General features: G+C 37.3%; 1 protein-coding gene across 4 annotated transcripts in view; it reads right to left on the bottom strand.

Moving 5' to 3' along the window:
• Nucleotides 1–23,231, bottom strand: part of CNTN3 (contactin 3) — a 352,092-nt gene that overhangs the window by 141,086 nt on the left and 187,775 nt on the right. For all 4 annotated transcript variants that reach the window (NM_020872.3, NM_001393376.1, XM_011533768.3 and 1 more), the window contains one exon: nt 21,192–21,287. In NM_020872.3, coding sequence (NP_065923.1) covers nt 21,192–21,287 — 96 coding nt within the window. The remainder of the gene's footprint in view (nt 1–21,191; nt 21,288–23,231) is intronic.

Consider the following 23,231-nt stretch of genomic DNA (forward strand, 5'->3'; position numbering starts at 1 on the left):
AAATTTTTAAGAGCTCATCCTTTTATTAAAATATTATAAGAAATAGGAGCCTATTCAAAGTGATCATGAAACCAAAAGAAAGTTATTGGGCCTTTAGAAATATTCTGATCTCCTTATTCTTATTTGTGTGTAAATTCATTAAAATAGAAAAGTTTAATTCTCTCTCTGGTTCTTTTTTTCTGTTTTGTCTCTGGATTGACTGAGACTCCCTGCTCTGTCTACTCTTCTCTTTCCTTTTTTTTATTTTTTTGAATCAGGAAACCCCTTATCTTGTAAAACAATTTTCTACTCGCCCCCCTCCTCCCTGATGTCTTCCTTCTTCCCAAACTCGTAATACTTTCATCTATTCTGCTCTTACAAGACTCGCTATTCTCTGTCTTTTCCTATTTAAATCTAGGTCTAAATCTTTCTCCTACACATCATAAACCATTTCTGATTTATCTTTTTGATAGCACCCTCTCCCCCAATACAATACTTTGAATACGGTAGGATCAAAATAAATACACACAAAATAAGCAATTACCTCAACTGCTGGGCTAAATTTATCTTTATGAGGAGTTCTTTATTCTGTGGAGCAAGTGCCAAGAGATCAGGAATTTTCTTTCTTAATTCAATTTGGTTGAAAGGGGAACTTACAAACATTTTTTTAAATTCAGCAACTAATTACTTTTGCAATGTGTCAGGGATGTCATACACATTGTATAAATAAAAGGAAAGGAAGATAGTTGTTAAATCTTCTCAATGTCTGTTACTCTGGTTTATCTAATTCGGGCACTTTGAACATACCAAATCACTTCTATGCTTATCTCTCTTTGACTACAACTCCATCTTTTCCTCCCAACAGAGAATGAAGTCTATTTCCTTCTCAGAAAAGTTCAGAAATGATTTTTCCTTGTAGACATCAACATGTTCTTAATATAACTCAGGAGACAGCATGCTGTATTGGAAAAAAAATTAGAGTTATCAGGAAAGCTAAGTTTTAGTATGGGTCTGCCATACACCATATGACATTGCTTAAGTCAAACTGAGACCCACAGAGGTCTCAGTTTCCTCATCTGAAAAATAAGGAAACCAGACAAGATTTTTCTACTGTGTGTTTCATGCCCACCATGATACTGCTGAATACTAAAGCAGTTATAAAAAAAAATAGTCTATTTAAAATTCAGTCTCTAGTTTGGATTATTGTGATTTTTTCATGTGAACTGTCCTTCAAGAGCACCAGTGGTAGGGACAGGTAATCCAATTTCCATAGCTAGAAGGAAAACCACTCTAGTCGAATCCATCACATTTTTCACTTCTTTTCCCCTACTCTAAAAAAATCTCCATAGACCAAAATGAAAAGAAAGAAGAAAAGAAGAAAAAGTCAGTATTTAGGCAAACTACTCTATTAAACATTTTCTATCATTATGTCTCTTAGATTTATATACGGTTTCTGTCTTTGGAGTCATAGTTGGTAAAGTGTGTCTTATCCTTACACTAAAAATGTATTTATCTATATTTTTATCTTAGTACCTGAATAATATTTTTAAATTTAAATGTAAAGAAAGGGATTTGACATCATTTATGCCAAATGAATAGACAGTTATTTCCACACTCATCGATAATCTACTCTTTCTCTCACTTCTTTGAAATGCCCCCTTAATCATAAAACAATATCATATAGATACATTTGCAGATACGTATATACATACACACATACATGGATCAATTTTTTGATTCATCATTTTGTGTTACTGCCTTGTTCCTACAGAATAACTATAATATTTCAGTGCTATATTTATTTTAGTTCCACATTGTTTTAGTAATTCATAGGGCAAGTTCCCATATTAAACAACTGAATTTGCAAAATAGCATCTTTCAAATAAATTCATTCTTCTAAATACATTATCAATATCATTATTCCAAAAATTTTAAGATTTTGATTACAATCACCTCTTATTTGTATATCACTTTGGGAAAAATTGTTATCTTTACAATAATGAGATTTCATATTCACAAATATGGTTTCTATCTCCAGCATTAAAATTGTAATGTTTTCCAGTAAACTGCTGTTTCTTTCTGCATAAACGACACATACCTTTTTAAACATGTATTGCCTATATAGCCATTTACATATTGTTTTTATAATGACTATGGCTAGTATCCAAGAAGACTATCCAGTTTTCCATATTTATTTGTAAATGTGTGGGACACTATTTTAGTTTCAATAGATTCGTGGGTGACGTTCATGAGTTCTCAGAAGATACAATGACAAGAGCCATTTTTGAATTATCCAGGAAGATCATCCCATTGCTCTTTTATTAGTAAGGATACTGCTTTCTGTTGTTCTGATAGATAATCTTGATCCACTTTAGGGGCAGTAGCCTCTCATTCTTCATTTTTCTATTGTTGGTCATTTAGAATATTTAGTCTTTTGCCGTTATAATGCTATGAGTGTCTTTTGAGTATTCCAAGGCAAAATAGCAAATCAAAATAAAATCCGCAAAATATAATGTTGAAAGGTGACAAATTAGGGAAAAATGTATCATACAAGACAAACAAAATGCTAATTGCCTTAAAAGATAAGCAATGATCAGAAGATATTATTTTAAAGTTATTTCTTTTTACAACAAAGATTGTTTCTAAGGTGTTTATACTAACATTGTGAAGTGCTTAAACTACAACGATAATTTTAAAAGTACAAATTTGTCTTTACAGTTTTCAATTATGGGGAAAATGTGTAAGGAAAAAAATAAGACTGAGAATAAATAGACCAAAATGAGGGTTATCTTGACATTGTGGTAATATGATTTTACCTTTGTTATTTAAACATGCTAAATTTTCTAAATGTTCCATAATAAGCATCGTTGCTTTTCTTATTTGAAAAAAATCACACTGAACTATGTGTTTTTTTTTTTAAATTATCTTCAAGAGAAAGGCTTCGGTTCATTCTAAAATCTTACTTTTTTTAGATTCCTTAGTTTAACTGTATGCAATGGCAACTGTACACCAGTAAATTGCTTATTTTTTTCTATGTGTAATTTTCCTTCATCCAGATACTTTACTTCTTTAGCAAATCTACAATTTCACCAAAAGGAAAAGAAACTATGTATGTGTAGGTATGCACATATATGCACACACACATACAAAGGGAAATGGCTAAAATATAAATAACAGCACATTACCTCTCATTGCTAGTAATTATTTTGTTTCTGCTAGAGGAAGAAACCAATAATAAAAAGACATATAGGAGACTTCAGCAGAGGACATGTACTTACTAATTCTTTTCAGGACTAAAATGATAACTCTACCTTGTCTATTATGCTGAATCTTGAAAAGTATAAAAAGGAATAAAAGAAAAGTATAAATTTTCCTGCTAAGAAGCATAATCTCAAAACCGAGGATGTATAGAATAATGTGGCAGAATGGAAGGGATCTTTCATTCTCTCTTACAATAGGATGTTGGATGTTAAGTTTTAGAATTTAAACTGGAATTTGTTCTATTTTTCTATGTAATGCTAAGATAAAGAAATGTGGAACTTTAGGAACACATATATTGTGTGGGTGCTAGAAGCATTACAATGGAGAGAATATGAAGATGTGGGTAAAGTATAGCCAGGCCAAATATTCTATTTTTTTTTTTTTTTTTTTTTGAGACGGAGTCTCACTCTTGTTGCCCAGGCTGGAGTTCAATGGCGCAATCTCAGCTCACCATAACCTCCACCTCCTGGGTTCAAGCGATTCTCCTGCCTCAGCCTCTGAAGTAGCTGGGATTACAGGCATGTGCCACCACGCCTGGCTAATTTTTTTTTTTTTTTTTAGTAGAGACAGGGTTTCTCCATGTTGGTCAGGCTGGTCTCAAACTCCTGACCTCAGGTGATCTGCCCACCTCGGCCTCTCAAAGTGCTGGGATTACAAGTGTGAGCCACCGCGCCCGGCCAAGCCAAATATCCTTAGCGGAAGACCTAGGTCTAGCAAAAGACCTCGAAACTTGCTTCTTAAAATAGCAAGTTTGGAAAACACTGGGGAGTGGACGATGAGCAGTTGCTTGGTGAGTACAGTGACAGATGCATTGAACATCCTGACTTCACCACAATGCAATATATCAATGTAGCAAAATTGCACTTGTACCCCACAAATATATATAAATAAAAAAAGAAAAAGACTGACAAATACATACTTGATGGTAGCACTCCTCAGGGCATCCATTGAAAGGTATCTCATTTTGATAAAGTATCAGAACTTGTTGACATTTAAAGGAACTGTGTTCTCTCTCCTGTATGATAGGAAACATATCACAGAGGCCATATGCACAATAGGTTCCCCAATGGTTGTTGGTGGTTGTGAGCAGCATGGTGAGTCTCCAGTTAACCTTTCTTTGACCTGATGTTTTCCAGCTTAGCCAGAATGGCCCAGACAATCATTGGCTTTCTGCAGTCAGCTTATAGCTCAGGGAAGGTAGGACCTTGAGAGGTCATCAACAACATTGGAATAAATTCTGCTCCACTGTGGGACGGTGCAAACTTCAAGCTAATGTGCTTCAAAGGAAATTAATTTCCCACTGGTCTTGCAAGTTTGTGTTACATAAATCCCTGGATTTAAGACTAGGAATATTTCTGAGATGCTTTTGAAAATCTGATCTAACTAATGTTTAAAAAAAAGGAAAACAAAATTCTCCAGAACATAATGTTGTAGGCCTTTAATAAAAGATTTGCATTGAGTAAGTCTTATCCTGGATTATCTCCCAGGAACAGTAACAGTGGTCGGTTTTTCAAAGGTATCACAGAAAAAGAAAGTCAAAGATACGGCATGCTCACTCAGGAGGCAGTGCATGTGTTAATTCTTTTAACTGAGATTTGGAAGTTATCCCTGTCTTTAGAGGGGACATAATTGAGGCCTAAAACTGGCTTGCTTTTTGGATCCTTGTCAATGCATTTCCTAATGCGGCCAGATCTCGAGGGCCATTCTCAACTATATGCATTCACATCTCATCTCCCAATTTACGGCAGAGATTGTATTAAACCTTTGTAATTAGACAGGGTATTTATGTTCTAGACTTTTCATTTGGAATCTTCTATGCAGCTTTGTAAGAATCTCCTCTGCCTTCTTCAGAGTAATTACCCTACAGGAGGTGCTCTTGCATTCTCTGATCTTAGAAGAATTTCATATCATTCATCTCTCCTTTGTCTTCTAACGAAGTCACATCATTGTTTCATAAAGAGCAACTGGAGGTTGTTTCCCCAAAGTCTTAACTAGTATCCTTCTGGAACTAACATACAGTAAAATTGTCTATACAGTTCTTCACTCTATTATATTATTTTTTATTTCAAGTGTAAAGGTTCTCTATTTCTTTGGCCAATGCACTACACACAGCTTAGAAGAAGCAGTCTTCCACGAAGAGCCTTGCATATATATAAGGGCTATATGTTATGCCCTTTATCAGGATGTCTTACCATGGTCTTGGGTCATGTTAAAGTAAATAAGAAGGCCATTCACCTGAGGCTGTCTCTGAGACCAGAGCTCTTAGGTAAACAAACTGGAACTTATCTTGGAAACATTTTTTTAACTGACTAAAACCAAACAAAGCAAGACTTAGCCAATCATGAACAGCCAAGCACACAACTGGTTACACAGATAGGAATCTCCCACTGAATCATATCCAGATAAGTAAGGTGAATGCCTGATCACACTGTACCCAAATTAGGCAAACACCTAGCTGTCACCAATCAGGTAACTTCTCTATTTGTTTTCATGATCAGCATATAAAATTCTTTTACTTTTGTTGCAGAGCTCTCTGAACCTCTTCCAGTTTTTTGTGCTGCCTGATCCATGAATCATTTCTTTGCTCAAATAAACTCTCTTACATTTATTTTGTCTAAAGTTTTTTTTTTTTAACAGTACTATTAATCCAACTGTTGGTTGTTCCATACTATTACAATTTATCTTAGAAGTCTGTCCCTAAGCATGTGTACAAGAACTGGAAGTTCACAAAAATTTACCTAGAAACTATTCTTTGGACAGAACTGTCTCATATTTTTTGTTTTAACTTTTCTCTACATGACACTTCAACTGAGACTCACAGGTTATCTGTTTAATGCCATTTTCTTTGACTAAGAAGTCAATTTTTAGCTTATTTTGAAGCTCTTGCAACTTAGAGTTATTGGAATATCCATTCAATTTGGATTTTTTCACTCATTTTACTTCCCGGAAAATGCCTTCATTGCATTATGATTTTCTAATTGTGATGACTTGGTTTTAGCAAAACAGCATTTCTTTCAATTTTGTTGAAGATACTTGATGTTTCTCAGCTTGGAATACTACTTCCAACATACTTCACCAAGGATCAGAAAGAAGTCATGAATTCTTTAACACCTTTTATGAGATGAAGTGTGAATCAATGCATTTTGGAAATACGGAATTTTGCTTCTCCTACACTCCACTCATAGAAAGATTCAGAATGCCTTGACTGCACCCTGTGGATGTTACAATTCTCTTTATGTATCCATATCTTGTTCTAATAGCCCATAAATTCTTCTTACTCTCTACTCTTGTACTGCAGAGAACAGAATCCTCCCATTGTATGGCTCAGGACTGTCCAACCCCTGCCCTCTGCCTAACCTGTGAATCTGAGACTCAGAACCACAGCTATGAAAATAAAAAAATAACTTTTACTGCTTACTAGCACTGGATTAAGAAAACCCATATAGATTTCATGTGAGAGCCACAGGAAAAACAAAACACATCATGTGAGTATCTGTAAATGGTTGGCAATAATAAGTGTGTGCTGAGAATTAACATGTCATGTTTATACCAGATGTCAGGTGTACTGCTTCTCTCTCTGAGTTGTCAAAAAGCATAATACAGAGAGAAAAGGTCAAAGAATCCTGGGGGATGTTAGTGGTGCTTAAAGGTTATAATGATTGAAAAAGATTGCTTTAAGTCTACATGTATCACCACTTCAGATGTCATTTCATGTCTCAAGTGGAAACAGAATAGGCCTTCTTAAGAGATTTGTGGGATACAATATGTTTTGGCAGTAGAGTTGAAAACACACTATGGTTACCGTAAGCCTGCCAGAATGGGTCCCCTTATCTGAAGATCAATGATTACAGATGATTGATGGACTAGTTTCCCCACCAGAAAACACCAGCCTGTTATTACTAGAACAGATGCAATGTGATCCATACATAATTAACTGAATTTACAAATGCCAGAAGTACATTAACTAGTGAAAGCATCCCTTAATTTTCTCCTCCAGATTTCATAATGATATAGTAAAGAAATGACCCACTAACGTATCAATAAGTGAACAGTCAAGCTGAATCTGAATAAATTCAGGCAACTGACTCTACTTACTCACTGATAAAATAAGAGGAGAGACTCCCCTCTCTATCCTTTCCTCCCTCCCTCCCTTCCTTCTTCCTACCTTGCTTCCTCCATCCATCCCTTTCTTTCTTTTGTTGTTTCTTTCTCTTTCTTTATAATTTGTCATCCCAGTGTCCTATCCTCTTTCTTTATAATTGGTCAGCCCAGTGTCCTATCTTTAAAAATATTCATATGGAAGAATAACATTTAAAATAGGTAAAAAAAAAGTCACTCTATTTGAAGAGAAAGTTATGAAAATTAGCGTTTGTACACAAAGCTGCCCCCTTGAGTATTTTCACAAACCTTTAGAGCACTCGGCAGAGGATATTTTGAAAATTACTGGTGAACCCTATCTTTAAGCTAGGTCAGCGCTTCCTGAAGTGTGCTGCTCAGAACATCCGGTCCTGCAAGATGCTCCATAAACAAAGAGTTTTCTTCTCAAGTAAGTTTAGGAAATGTTGCATGCTGGATTATTCCTCTTTGATAGGTAAAATCAATATTATCCCATTAAAAGCTCTGAGAAATAAAAGAAAGATGCATTCTTGTTTCCCTAGCATTTTTGAAAAAGTTTTCTTTTTTAATTGTCCTCATACTTTTCCATGGGGCCTATTACCATTCTGCAAGAATACAGTCTGAAAATGCTGCTCAATGTCACCCAAATGATGTCTAAGCATAACATATGCTGACAGAAGTATAAAACCATGAGAGAAAATAAGGAGTCTCTGCTGGGAACACAGACTTTACCAACTGTATTTCACGTTATCAACCCATCAATTAGATAGTCTTGCCAGGAAGGCAGTGCTAACAATGTTACTTAGCTGTGGAAGGTGATCAGTAAATGGTAGTAGTAAAGACAGAATGTGGCAGGCTGTATAAAAACCAAATCAGAATTTAGAAGAAGTAACAGGAGTGGGCTGCAAAACACCTAATACTTTCAGATATAATAATGTCACTGAAAACATTGCATATGTTAGAAAAAACGGAAAAGTCCTTAAATTTCTGAATTTACATAAAATTTACATTAGAAGAAACAAGCAATTTACTTATAGCTACAATAGAATTAGGTATAGTTCTGCTTAGTTATGGTGTTTACTTTGGGGAACATGATGTGTCCTCACTGGAACTGAGCTTTAGCTGACATCTGTCAACTGATCTTTCAAATTCACCTTCTTCCAGGTAAAATCGATCTGAAATATTACAGAGTTTGTATTTATGTGTAATAGAATCTCACTCTTTAGATTTCCCCTACTCTGTTGTGCTTAGCTGACTGATTTATCCTCACTTTGGGGGCATAAAACATTTGCTAAGAAAAGTAATGATGCAAACTAGACTGGAAGGGGAGAATGTTTAATTACTTCAGAAAAAGTATGTAAAACAAATTTGGAAAACTATTTCCAGGACTGAGATGCTACTTTCAGATACTACAGGCCTCCAAGGGCCTATAATTAGCTGCTTTAATTAGCTTCGTTTGGAATTATTTTATGTACCCCTGAATCTAATGAAAAGTGGATTTTTAAAGACTTTATAAACCATCCCCTTGACTGTCTCTCATATTTGTAATCCCTCAGATTGCTAAGTGAATGAGGCTTATTCATTTTTTTATTATCTGTAAAGAATATCCTTAAAGGAGGAGACTTTCAGCTGTGTCCTGTAGGCTGAAGGCACCTTCAAACCATGTAGTGTTTCATCCATACCATTTAAAAAATATTGGAAAATTTTACCAGCATACAGTTTCTGGCTTTTCTTTAAAAATTTACTTTCTCCATGGCAATAATCCACTGGAGCTGAGTAGCCCATGAACCCTCCAGGTGGAACATTCAGTTTACCACAATCCCTTCTATACTGAATTTTATACCATTTTTCATTATACATTGTTTTCTTTATAGTAGAGTTGGAATAATGTAGACTGGCTATCATATGCAGATCTCTGTCAAATATGGAAAAACTGAAAGGAAGACCACAAAGGTCAAATAACTAAAGAAAAAATAAGAGAGCATATGGTGAATTACGTTATTATTATTTGCTGCTCCTCTCTGTGGCAGGAAAGTTCTGGCCCATTTGGTCAGCACTGGCCATTAACAGTTACTTTGGAAAATGGAATGAGCAAAAATGATGTCTATACCACCTGTGAACAGCTTGCATAGTTCAGACAGTTTTATTTTCTCTGTGTCATGAAAATGACACGTCCCAGGTAGGGACCACTCTTTCTCAAAACGACAAAATCACATGGAATACAGATTCAGCCAACCCACTGCTTAGAGGGTACATGGATAGGAAATCAATCTTTATTCTTAGATGCCTCTGAGACTTTGGAGTTGTTTGTTGCTGCAACATAACCTATTGAAAGCTGACGGATGCAGAGCAAATTTCATACGAATAGTGAAAAATATCTCCATGTGTTTCATATACATATACAAAATGTGTCTGTGTCTAATGAATTTAACTTAGCCACGGTTAGGAAAAAAAGCCATGGTAAGAACTGTAACCAGCAAATGGGAAATGCATGTGCCAAATCCTCAATAAACTCAAAAAAGAACTGCATTTTCTATATTTTAAAAAATGCAAATAAAGTAATTGATGCTGTTTAGAGATTTAGCTGTTACCAGGAAAATAATTGCCCAAGCCTCAAATCCTAGCCCTCCTTTCGTTTGAATTACTTGGCTGCATGCTGCAGACCTGTGGGAATAGGGAAAGGTGATCACTGTGGAGTTTCTGTGAATGAATTCTTACTGAAAACTTCATGCATGATTCATTCCACTCTTACCTTTAACCCTGGTACCATTTCAAAGTCCAACTTGCTCAATTTAATGAGGAAAAACAGGTTTTAAATAAAAGCCGAATCTCAAAAGGAAGGGGATCAATTCTGAAATTCCCTCCCCACAAGACCAATCTGGGTTTTCCTTCAGACAGAGCAACAGTCACAGGCACAGACACACAATAACAACAATAACAACAAAAACAAATCCAAACTACTCTGGGGTGAGGTGCCAAGCAGTGCCTGTGAGGATCAAAAGCTATAAAACCTTAACCAAGTGGTAAGAGAGGTGCTCAATCTCTGTGAGCATCAGTGCAGTTGACTGCGAAGCACCCACCAGCTACTCCACACCTGGGCATGTGGATGGATGAAAGTCAGGAAATTTCAGTTACACAACTAGGCAGACTAGCAACTTTGCTCTCCAAGACAGCATTTTTGTAAAAGTTTTTTTAAAATTATCCTCATACTTTTGTCTCTCCAAGACAGCTAAAGTTCAGGGAAAAAAATCTGCTGAGATGGAAATTACCTAGCTTATAAATAAATGAGTATCAAAGTTCCATGTAAGCCACAAAGTTCACTTCTGTTTTAGAGTTTAAAATGTCCTACCTAATAAAATTCACCCACAAAAATACTTCAACTCTTGTACTTGCTCTGGCATAAATATTTCTCTATTCCTTTAAATGGTTTTTGAAAGCATTTACATTTGTATGACTTGAAGACAATGTGTTTCAAAGTATGGCTTAAAAACCATCTGAATCAAGACTCTCCTGGGTCACTGATAAAGAATGCAGGTCTCCAGGAAAGACCCCACCCTATGGGGTCAGAATCTCTGGGAGTGGGACTGTGGAATCTACATTTTAAACAAGCCCCCTAAATGAGCCACTAGAGTTTACAAAACACTGCCCTATGACCAAAAACACTTGATTTGGACTTTATCTGTGTAAGAAATATCCCTCAGTTTGATCTAATACATTGTCAGGTTTCTTTGTAACAGCAGCATGTGTAATATTAATTAAAACACAGGTACACACAAATGCGCTGTAATGGAAGCAACCAATGTTTTATTGCCCCCACTTGCTAGTGCACAGATCAATTCTTGGATCTCACCTGGTGTTTCCTATAGTCTTTTTTTTTTTTTTTTTTTTGACCAAAAGCATCAACTAATGGTCTTTCTGTTTCTTTTTGGGATAGGAGACAAAGCCTTTACCATTCTTGACTTATAGCTAATTTTTTACTTAAAGCAGAAAACATCGGTCAGGACTCTGCCATATTAAAATAAATTCTGTTGAAGCACTATCTCTCGAACAGTAGATTTAAACCCCTGAGTTTCCACATGTAATTTTTTGATGGGCTTCAGGCTCCTCTGTCTGTTGGTGGATGGAATCAGAGCAAGAAGACTCGTACGTCTTTAGAGTGAGAAAGAATGATTTTCTCATCCTACCACTGCAGACCAGTTAGGGGATCTGGGAATAAACTGGAAGGCGGAAGTGTGAAGCCATGCTGCTGTGAGAACAATGTAAGAAATGGTCAGGGGCATTTCTGAAGCTTGGGGGAAATTCACCTGTAGACTGAAAGTGTAAGTTGTAATGAATGAATGAATCCAGTTTCTCGAAGTTGTTTCCATGACCCTGACTCTTTCCAGAGCTCTTTGTGGTATGTTCCATGCTGACTTTAATCCAAAAGGGATGCCGTGACAGCCCCAGGGACAGCTGTCAAAAAATAAAGCTTCTGTTTCTTTATTTTTAAATTAAATTTCCTATTCTCCTTGCATCAGTTTCATTACTACATACATACACACATATCATCCTAAAATGATGTCCATTGCATTAGTTATGAGTTTGTTTGTCAGAAACAAAAACCTATCACAGTCAGCCTAAGTAAGGATCAGAATGATATACAGACACAAGCTGTTTCATAGAACCCAAGGGCTAGAAAACAGCTACAGAAATGAGAGCTGGGGAGCCTGCAGGCCAGGCAGTCTTTCGTCCTTAATCTCTGCCCCTGGTCTCTTCTTGTTTCTGTCGGGCTACATCTCAGCTCCTGAGGCATCAGCTTTCTTGGCTGCCTAATCTACATGATAGAAAGGCTCTGTTCCAAACTCTCAAATTCAGACTTGTAGGCTTACAGGTCAAATATCAAACTCCCAGGAGACAGCATCTGATTGGCTCATCTTGTGGCAGGTGTTCTCCCTGGGCCAATCGGTTGAAGTCAGTTGGAATGTGCTGGCTGGGCCCCTGGGGTCACTGATGCTAGTACAGGATGGGCATCTCAAAGCCATCTCCATTCCTTTTCTCTAAACATAATTGTTTTAACTTTTTCCTCCTCAACCACAGATAATCCAATGAGGAACAAAACCCAAACATTTTCTAGAACCATGTTTTCTAAAGTGGGGTTCAGATATTCCCAGCCAGACAATCCCCCAGGGTACAGAAAGAAAGTATAGTTAATCCCCTTCATAGATTTACTTTTATTTAGATATTTTAAATTTTTACATTTTTCCATAAACATATTAAGATGGTAGTATATTTGTATGTGTATAAATAAATCAGACATTTCAAACAATTCACATGGATTGCCTTCTTAAATACTCACAATGATCCTATAAGGATAGGTTCTGTGATTATTCCCCATGTATAGATAAGAAATAAGAGATACAGAGGTTAGGCAACCTGTTCCAAATTCCATAGCTTGTAATGAAAGTGTTAGAATTGGAACTCAAGCAGTCTAGCTCTAGGTGCCCAGTTTGTACCCTCTCTGCTTCCTTCATATGTGTATATGTGTGAGTGTGATTGTAGCAGGGTGGTGCTTAAAAAGGTTTTCATTGTTACAGAGTACCCATTAAAGGAGTCTGAAAAACACTGTTTTAGAAGGTGGAAAATGTATAAGTAAAAAAAAATTGAAGCCTATAATGTTTGTGAGCACAGGAAAATTTTCCATCAGAAAGCAACTGACCAGCTGGGCGCAGTGGCTCACACCTGTAATCCCAGCACTTTAGGAGGCCGAAGCGGTTGGATCACTTGAGGTCAGGAGATCGAGAACAGGCTGGTCAACATGGCAAAACCCCATCTCTTTTAAAAACACAAAAATTAGCCGGGCATGGTGGCGTGTGGCTATAGTCCCAGCTACTCGGGAGGTTGAGGCATGAGAATTGCTTGAACCCGGGAGGTGGAGGTTGCAGTGAGCCAAGATTGTGCCACTGCACTCCAGCCTGGGTGACAGAGGGACATTCTAAAATAAAAAAAAAAAAAAGGAAAGAAAGCAACAGACCTAGGTGCCCAAATCTACCATGACATGGCTTTGGACAAATCACCTAACTGCTCTGAGCCTTGGCTTGTCAGTGCAGAATGAGAGTGATACTCTCTTCCTTGAAGTTCTGTTAGGAGCAATAAGCTGTGTCTGGCCAATAATAATGGCACCTATTATTGTCATTCTAGGGTTAACTAGTCACTAGCAAACTCATCATTTTCATTCCCTGTGGGCCCATATGTACCTGAGGACAGAATTCCTATCTATCTTCCTATTTCCTGCAAACTGAACTCAGTACTTTTCTCTTGGGGAGTGGTTTCGGGCAGTATTCGACAAGTATCAATTTGGATATATTTCTATCAACTTCAAGAGCAATACGCTCAGTTTTTCTCTTATTTAATATCAATCTTATTCAAGTGAAGACACATATTTATTATAGTAAAACCTTATTATTATAAGACATATCACATCTTCCACAAATAAATAGCTGTTTGATGGATACTTGAGTAAATCAATGAATGAATACAATGGATGGATGGATGGATGGAATATGCCTGGATGGACAGACTTAGAAAGAAAAAAGGAAAGTTGAAGGCAGGCTCAATTAATATTTTAAATTCACAGCTTCCACATTCAGGCACTTTGGAGAACTTCAGGATTTTCATCTCCATTTCCAACTACAAAATGGTCTATAGAGTACAACAAATGTTTCCTTTAGAGATCAAAATATTTTATAGTTATCCATATAAAAGCAGCTAAGGTTTATATGTCAATTGATTCAGAACATACTTGTCTTAATGCGACTATGAATCTGTTAATATTCTGAACTCCTGAAAATGTCAATAGTCACATCAGTATTGACATATTCAAAAAATAGTTTACAATTTTGAGATTCATTCAGTCTACAGATGGATTACCTAACTGTTTGCCATGACATTCTAACCTATCCCCAGGATAGGAGCAATAAATAAGCAGTAATATTCTATTGTACAGATGCCAATTTCTCATTAGCCTATCAATCATCTGCTTCCTAGTCTTGATCTTGCAGTTTGTGGTGACATAAGTGCTGCTGTAATGCAACTTTTGCACCTGCTCCTTTAGGGAAGGTGGAAACTACTGGGTTATTGGAGAAGCAGTCTACACACATTGACCTCTGATGCAAATGTGATGGGAGCCAGAAAGCATATTCTTAATTCTGTTTTTTCCCCCTAAAGAGACAAAGTATTGCTATGTTGCCTAGTCTGGTTTCAAACTCCTGGCCTCAAGGGATCCTCCCATCTTGGCTTCCCAAAGTGCTGGGATTACAAACATGAGCCACCATGTCCACTGCAGAAAACATATTCCTTTTTTTTTTTTTTTTTGAGTCAGAGTCTCACTCTGTTGCCCAGGCTGGAGTGCAATGGCGCGACCTTGGCTCACTGCAACCTCTGCCTCCCGGGTTCAAGCAATTCTCCTGCCTCAGATTCCCAAATAGCTGGGATTACAGGCACCTGCCACCATGCCCAGCTAATTTTTGTATTTTTAGTGAGACGGGGTTTCACCTTGCTGGCCAGGCTGGTCTCCATCTCCCAACCTCAGGCAACCCGCCCACCTTGGCTTCCCAAAATGTTAGGATTACAGGCATGAGCCACCGTGCCCAGCTAGAAAGCATATTCTTTCTTCCCAAATAAAACATCAAATTTAGAGATTCATCTCTATATTTTTTTATTTTGACACTACCTATACATACATTCTTGACTTCAAGATTTTGAAAAATGCTAATGTTTTAAAGTTTATTTTATTTTAAATTTTTTTTATCTTTTTTTTTGGAGACAGAATCTCACTCTGTTGCCCAGGCTGGAGTGCAATGGTGCGATCTCGGCTTACTAACACCTCTGCCTCCAGGGTTGAAGCAATTCTCTTGCCTCAGCCTCCCAAGTAGCTAGGACTATAGGTGCACGCACCACCATGCCTGGATAATTTTTTTTTTTTGTATTTTAGTAGCGGGGCAGTTTCGCCATGTTGCCCAGGCTGGTCTTGAACTCCTGAGTTCAGGCAATCCACCCTCCTCGGCCTCCCAAAGTGCTAGGATTACAGGCATGAGCCACCGCACCTGGCCTGTTTTAAAGTTTAACTTTATTACCTGCAGAACAGTAGCAAAGTGTTGTTCAAGGAAAACTGTGTGCCTAAGATGAAGCTGTATTATACTTACAGATTAAACTGTTTAAGGAAATTGTTGTTTTGAGACATAATCACATCCAAAAACACTAGTCATGTGTCTCCCTGCCTTGACGGAGACTCTAGCAACTGGACAAGTCTTCCTAGAGATGAAAACTCCTATTCAGTGCGTTTTCTTCAGGTTCTGTCAGCTAAGCTACCTGAGCTGACTTCTGTTTTTCAGTCTATCCATCTTGGGTAAAGAAAAAAAAATAAAGATGCTGATACAGAAGTTGTAAATCCCATGCCATCTGGGCATGTTGCTAACAGTTCTCACCTTTGTCACACCAGGGTTTACAAGGCAATTTTTACCATAATGTCACTTCAGCCTCCATTACCTGCTGTTTGGCATCTCACATTCTCGTTTTTCCATCCCAAGGGCTATGTTGTTATAATATGTGAATGGCAGTATACAAGACTTCCATTTCAAGAATATGTGCATAGCAGAGATATGGAAAGCTGAATCAAGACACCAAAGTCACTTGCTGATTAAACACTGGGACAGACTCAAGCCTGTTTTCTACTCAGAATAAATTTCTATCAGCCATTGTTGAACAGAACTCATCTCTTTATTAACATGCATGTATGTAATAACTTGATTAACCTATGAATTCCTGAGTAATTAGTATTTATCATAAGGTGCCCATGAACTAGTCTTATGACCTTACTGAAAACAGGGTAATTTTTCTCGTGTATTTCAATGTCTAATGATTGTGTGGTGATATCAGCAAGTGAATGGTAATTAACACGAACTCCCAGCTTTTCACATGACTGATAACTAGATTAATAATTATGCTACAGGTGATGCATGTCCAGTCTTCTATTTCTGGCTTTTGATTTCCTAGTTTTCTGACAAACTTTGGGAGGTTAATTCCTCTTGCTTCATAGAGGTGCTGGATTGCTCTGCAGAGAAAGCAATGACTGGGAGGTGGCAGAAAATGACACAGAATGATGGGGAGATAAGAACCCTCTCAGATGACAGCAGTCTGTTGCTGCGAGGTTACAGGGATTCCTAGGAAAATTCTTCATTGTCTCCCACCATAAAACAATTTTTTATTATTATAGTATCAAATAGATGGCAAATGCTCTTATGCAGAGCTGCCCCAAGTTGCTGATACTATCTTGTAAATTACATTGATTAATTAAGGAAATATGATTAACATATGCAGTTTCCACACTTTGGGATCCTTATTTAGGCCTTTTCCACATCTATCTTCCCAATCTAGTTATGGAGAACATTTCTGGGTTTTATCCCAAATAAACAAAAGAAAGTTATAAACTTACTGCACTAAAAGGAGATTTTAACACAATTTTACTATGAGTCAAAACATTTAGTTAACTCTGGAGATATTTCTGCTAATGTGATTTTAAGCATTGCTGATGTGTTAAACAATGGGCTGGAAAATTAAAACAAAACCATGAACTGTGCTGTCTCCAATTTTGAAATGTCAGAAGCTTTTGGCTTAGGACAGTGTCACTTCTGCTGAGGACTCTGTGACTTCTCATTTGGAGAATGGCAACAGGGTGCTGGTTTAGAGCATGCCATACTAGAAAGAGCCCTGGTCATGAGTCAGAGCATCCAGGTTCTAGTTTTACTTCTTCACAGCTCTGTGATTTTAGGTTGGCTGCCTCCTCTCTGAGGCACACTTTGCAAACTCCCGAAGTGTAGCCCTAAATAAAAGCTGGAGGGTTTTGTGCTGAAGCTTAGTTTCTGGCCTCCTGCCTCATGTGCCATTTCTAAGCAGGAAGTCTGGGCTCAAGGCACTAGGCATTGGCTGGTTAAGAGCCCACGCTCTTAGCATCTGCAGGCTCAGCTTCCAGACTCTAATGTACATTATCACACATCTTCCTCCCCATACTTTTACCCAAAAAGAATCTCACTAGCAGGTAATTTCCACAAAGGACTAGAACACTGCTTGGCATCTAAGCAACACTCAATAGACAGAGGCTAACACTACTATGATTATTTTTATTTTATTTATTTTATTTTTTTTGAGACAGAGTCTCGCTCTGTTGCCCAGGCTGGAGTGCAGTGGTATGATCAGCTCACTGCAACCTCCACCTCCCGAGCTCAAGCAATCCTCCCACCTCAGCCTCCCGAGTAGCTGGGACTACAGGTGTGCACCGCCATGCTCAGCTAATTTTTTGTATTTTGGGTAGAGGTGGGGTTTTACCGTGTTGCCCAGGCTGGTCTTGAACTCCTGAGCTCAAGCAATCTGCCTGCCTCGGCCTCCCAAAGTGCTGGATTACAGGCATGAGCCATTGTGCCCAGCTGGTTACTATTATTATTACTATTACTGCCTTTCTTTGCTTACTCTGTTAGGCTGATATAAGAGGAAATACAACAGATAAATAAAATATGATTGTATCTTCAGTAATCAGAAAAATAACAAATTTAAACATTTCTAACCACAGAGAGGGAACCAAGAAGAAATGAAGAAATGTGAAGTGAATATAGCTAACACAAAGTATGGGAGACAGAGAAGGGCAAGCACATGTCCTGCAGGGACTGTGCGACTCTGTGGGAAGAAAACCAAATGGACCACAGTGCAGGCCATGAGCTCTCTGATTAATCCTTCATCAGTTGTACTGATATACCCCGGAGTTACAGCTTCAGCTGCTCTCTGACCTGGCTCATACCCTCTACTGAATTAAAGGCCATAAGTCAAAAAGGTGATGAAGCGGGGCTGATACCAGCTGCTGTGGACAGAGTTTACTCTGATCTGTCAATCCCCTCACCTGTCTGGTTGGCACCCAGGTCATTTTGGCTGTTAAAAGCTTATATCTTCACAAAGTTTCCAGTGAACTCTCAAAAAGCATGTATAACTGGCCAAATTTTTAAAAATGTATTCCTTACATGAATGTGTTCATTTCTTCAACCAATATTTACTGTTTGTTACAAACCAGCCTTGTACTAGGCTCTTGGGTGCAGACGAACACCAACATAGGCCTGCCCTCAAGAAGCTCATAAGCCAATGTGTTAAGACAGTGGACGTGAATTGTGAATACCTCCGCATTACAGACACTTGGATCAACGAGCATCACACTTTTTAGCATCTAAATCTGTACAATCTGGAACTGAGGGAAGTATGCTTTTGGTGAATGTTATTTGCTCTCCTATGCATGCTCTGGGTTCTTATGGGTTCATGTCTGACATCTGGGAAGATTTCTTCCCGTCTTCACCTACAATCCTATTTGACTTACACTGTCATCCCAACCGAGTGTTTTAAAAATGAAAGGACTACCTGAAGTCACCAAAGGCAGAGAAAAATCAGGATATCATTATTTAGGACAGGTGTGATGGGCTAACAGTTCTCCAATTTTATAACATTTGAATAGATTCATCTTTTGGGACATGTTTCCTCCAACAGCTTACTAAGACATGTTCACTCTGTGCATACTTAGGCAACCAAAAAGTTCCTCCTTTCCGATCAATGAATGTATCTAATCATAATAATACTTAAACAAAATCACTCAGTCGGAATTTTAAATTGGGTCAACACCTATAAAACTGATCACAACCAAGACTACCCAGCTATTATGTTATGTTCATTTGAGACAATATAAATTTAAATTATTTTGATACTTCCTTCCTAGATGTAGTTTTAGCAATTATTTATTTCTATCTAATATATCTCCCTCTTTTTACTCATAATACAACACTTCTTTTGGAAACTGCTTCTTTCTCATTCCAGTGCTTGTCAGCTGGTGGACTGATTCAAGCCCTCAGCTTCAGGGCTCCCATAAAAAAGGCTGATTCTAAAAGAATCAGGAGCCATAGAGAAACAGGGTGTCTGCTTCATTAGGATATTTAGCATTAAGGATCACAGAACTTAGAGCTGTCAGAGGTCACCTTTGCCTCCACAAGGAAGATACATGAGAATGGAGGCAATATGGAGAGAAGTGCAGTCAAGAAATACAGAGAAAAATGGATTGTTTATGGAATTGATTCAATCCCTGAATCCAACGGATTGAGTTTTCAGGGAGCGGACCCCTAAATAGAGTTTGGAATAAAAGCTTTTAATCAATGATCAAAACTCATGAAAGGAAAAAACTAGGATTCAACTGGGAAGAGAAAGAAACTGAATTGTGATGTGGTCCAACAAAAACATGGTCATCCTGACAGGAAGTTATGGATTAAATCAGAATTGCCCAGTGTTGGTCAGAAATGGTTGACCCTTCATATCCGAGCCTTGCTCAGTCACTAGATGTGGGCTTCCTCAGGAGGGGTGTGACTGTGGGCAAGTGTCTCTCTGCAGCTGGGGCAGACCAGGAAGGAGTGAGAGCTGGAGGCCATCCACTAACCCCACACCCCGTGGCGAGGCAGCACGTCCTTCTGGGTGGTGTATCTCTTCGTAAAACCTCACAGTGCTACCAGAAGCCACTTGATCATCCCAGTTATGTGAGCCAGCAAACTCCCAATTTTTTGTCAATACGGTTTGACTTCTGTTACTTTGTTTGCAATCAAGAGGCTCTATGCTTCCCTTCAAACTTAAAGTTCTTCTGAAACATCAAGATTCCAGCAATTATGAACACCCTTGAAATAAACTGGAGAACACAATTTAAACCCACAGCAGACCACATGATGGCAATCCTATTTTTTAATCAAGCTCCAAGTCTGCAGTCTCCAGATGGTTCACGAATTTCAAGTGGCCAGATCCTGAAGATGGGAGATATCTGTTTTATTGGGCTGAGGGTTTGTGATCAAAACTGACAACTCTTTGGGTGGAAAGGACTGTAATTTGTATGTCACAGAACAAATAAAGTCCAGCATGTTTTCCTTTGAATAAGTTTTACTGTAATGAGAAGCAGACTTCTCAGTTTCACTTCTGGTCAGAAAGATCCACTCTAACTTGTTTATCTCCCAATAATTCTCATCCTCTCAATAACAAAATACGTGTTTCTCTGAGAACAGTGATTTATTCATTAATAATGCCCTCTTTGTTCCTGCAAGTGGCCAAGTTTGCAATAGAGAGCACGATAGGAAAATCAAACCAGCACCCCAGGCTCATACTGGGGAGATAATAAAATTATTTTCATATGTGCTGAAGTTCATTTTTACTCTGGGTCACTATCTTGGTAAGGTTCTGAATTTCTAGTAATATTTCAATTTATACCAATATAGCATAAAATTTGCAATTCCAACGCCCCAATGTAAATGATGTGGATATACACACATATCATTTCTATGTGTATAAATATATATATATATATATAAAATACATATATAAAGAGGCTTATTGGCACATACTAATAAGCTTGTGTGTGTGTGTGTGTGACAGAGAGAGAGAGAGAGAGAGAGAAAGAGAGGCAGACAAACAGCAAAGATCCAGTTTGACATGGCATAAAACTAAAAACCAAATGATAATGGTGTAATGACAAAGCATTGTTTAGCACCGTTAGGTGACTGAAGCAAATGTGATCTCTCTTGTCTTTATAAACCAAAAAGTCAATGAGTCGATTGTTTAGAAACCTCTCTGGATGGACTATTTTTTGTAGTGTTCCTCATATTCCAACTCAGCAGACAAAATCTAATGCTCAGGTTATCAAGTTTCTCAGAGTAATTTACAGATGCAATAACAGTACATGCGCTGCAGGCCTTGCCCTGAACCTTAATAAATATGAAAAGCAGAAACAGAGCATGACTTACCTCCAGAGTGTGGTGGGGGGCCGCAGAGCAGCACAACTCCCTGGCCTTCACGCACAGACACTGTACTCCTCATTTTGGTTTTAAAATTTTCAAGATCTGATTTGAAAACAAAACAAAACTGAATTTTAGAAAGACCAATTAAATCACAAATTTTACACCAAGACCTTCCTTTCTTTTAGAAAACAATTTTAGTTTTTGCTTTTTTCTTTAAAAATTTTTATTTTTATTTACTTAGAATTTCACCCTTTATTTTAGATTCAGGAGGTACACGTACAGGTTTGTTATGTGGTTATACTGTGTAATGCTGAGGTTTGGGGTTTGGTTGATCTCATCACCCAGGTAGTGAGTACAGAACCCAACAGGTAGGTAGTTTTCTAATCCTTACCCCTCTCCCTTCCTCCCCACTGTAGTCGTCCCCAGGGTCCACTTTTGTCATCTTTATGGTCATAAGTACCTAACATTTATCTTCTGCTTATAAGTGAGAACATACAGTATTTGGTTTTCTGTTCCTGCATGGAAAACAATTTTAAAATCTCTTTCCCAGAACCTAGAGAGAAAACCATTTGCTTTGAGGTAGAAAAGCTGGATTCTGATTTCTTTATTAAAGCTTCTAGAAATTCAGCAATACAATATAAATATATACCCACTGATCCCATGTTGCTGAAATAGTGTCTAAAATGGCATGAACTATCCAAAGACAAAGCGTGTATCAGAATGAACTAACCAGACAATATAATTCAAAAAAGGAAATGAAATATCCTAAATCAAAAATAAACATAAATATGACTTTCACATTCACCAGTGATTCACCATATCATGAATACTTTTAGCTTCAACTTGTAATAATGACCAACTATTCATGAATTTCCCTCCTAAAACATTTTATCATAGCCTAAATAGATTTTATTCTACCTATAATTATTTTTATTTACAAAAATATTTGATAATATTCAGTTTCTGAGTATAAGTCCTATTTTTCCCATATTCTGAAGGGCTTTGTGGAAGATATATTGTCACTGAAAATTACCAAGTACATAGAATTCAAAGGATAACAGTAATTTAAATCAGCATATTCCCTTTTATTTATAGCGGCTAAAAATAATTATTTTTATAAGCATCCAAAGATTTTTTCAAGTGTTTAAAAAAGTTAAAAAAATAGCAATCAAGTGCAAATACTATTTTGATTACCAACGGTTATTTTTAGAGAACATTTAATTTCTTCCAATGACAATCCAGTACAGCAAATACTGATTCATTCTTTCCAAGTTAAATTAAAGGAGAGAGAAAATTCCGTTGACTTCATTTTTAAAAATGCTTTAGTTCATAGGGAAAGAGGAAGAAAGATCTGTTTCTTTAAACTCTGACTTATAAAAAATGCCTGTGAAGAATTACACCGTTAATATACTCTATGGTGTCACTTTCTGTATCAGAACAATTGTACTGTCAATTTCTGAAAGAATATACTCACTTCATAGCTCTTAAGGGCTGATATAAATTACCTAAGTGGTGTCTATACACAGTGAAGCAGTATATGTATTTTAGAATACAACTTGGATATTTTCAACTTTTCTTTGAAAAATATAAAAAGCAAAATAATTATCTTCAAATTGATAAAACCAGAACCTGTAGACACTTAGGGATACTCTAAGGATCATATAGCAGTATATCAGAGAGAAATAAGAGGGCCTATGTGCCTCACGTTATTGTTACTGAAAAATAGTATTAAATTGCTAGGTTATAAATATGGAGTAAAGTGATTCAGCAAAACTCTCTTGTGTGTGCCCAGAAAAGAAGAAAAAACAGTTGATGGACTTATTTTAACCACACGCTATCCAACAGAAATGATACAATAACATAGCGTTGTATCACCTTAAATCTAACTAAAATGCAACATTCTCAAAACATTAAGTCTCTTGGAATGTAACTAACTGAGTTAGAACTGCAAAACTAGACCATCCAAATGTTTCCCAATGGCTAAATGAGGCAGTACCTCATATCAGAATGTAGCTTATACATGGAATTTCCAAAGATTATTTCTTG

This window comes from Homo sapiens, chromosome 3 (genome assembly GCF_000001405.40).
Source record: "Homo sapiens chromosome 3, GRCh38.p14 Primary Assembly".
Classification (NCBI taxonomy): Eukaryota; Metazoa; Chordata; class Mammalia; order Primates; family Hominidae; genus Homo; species Homo sapiens.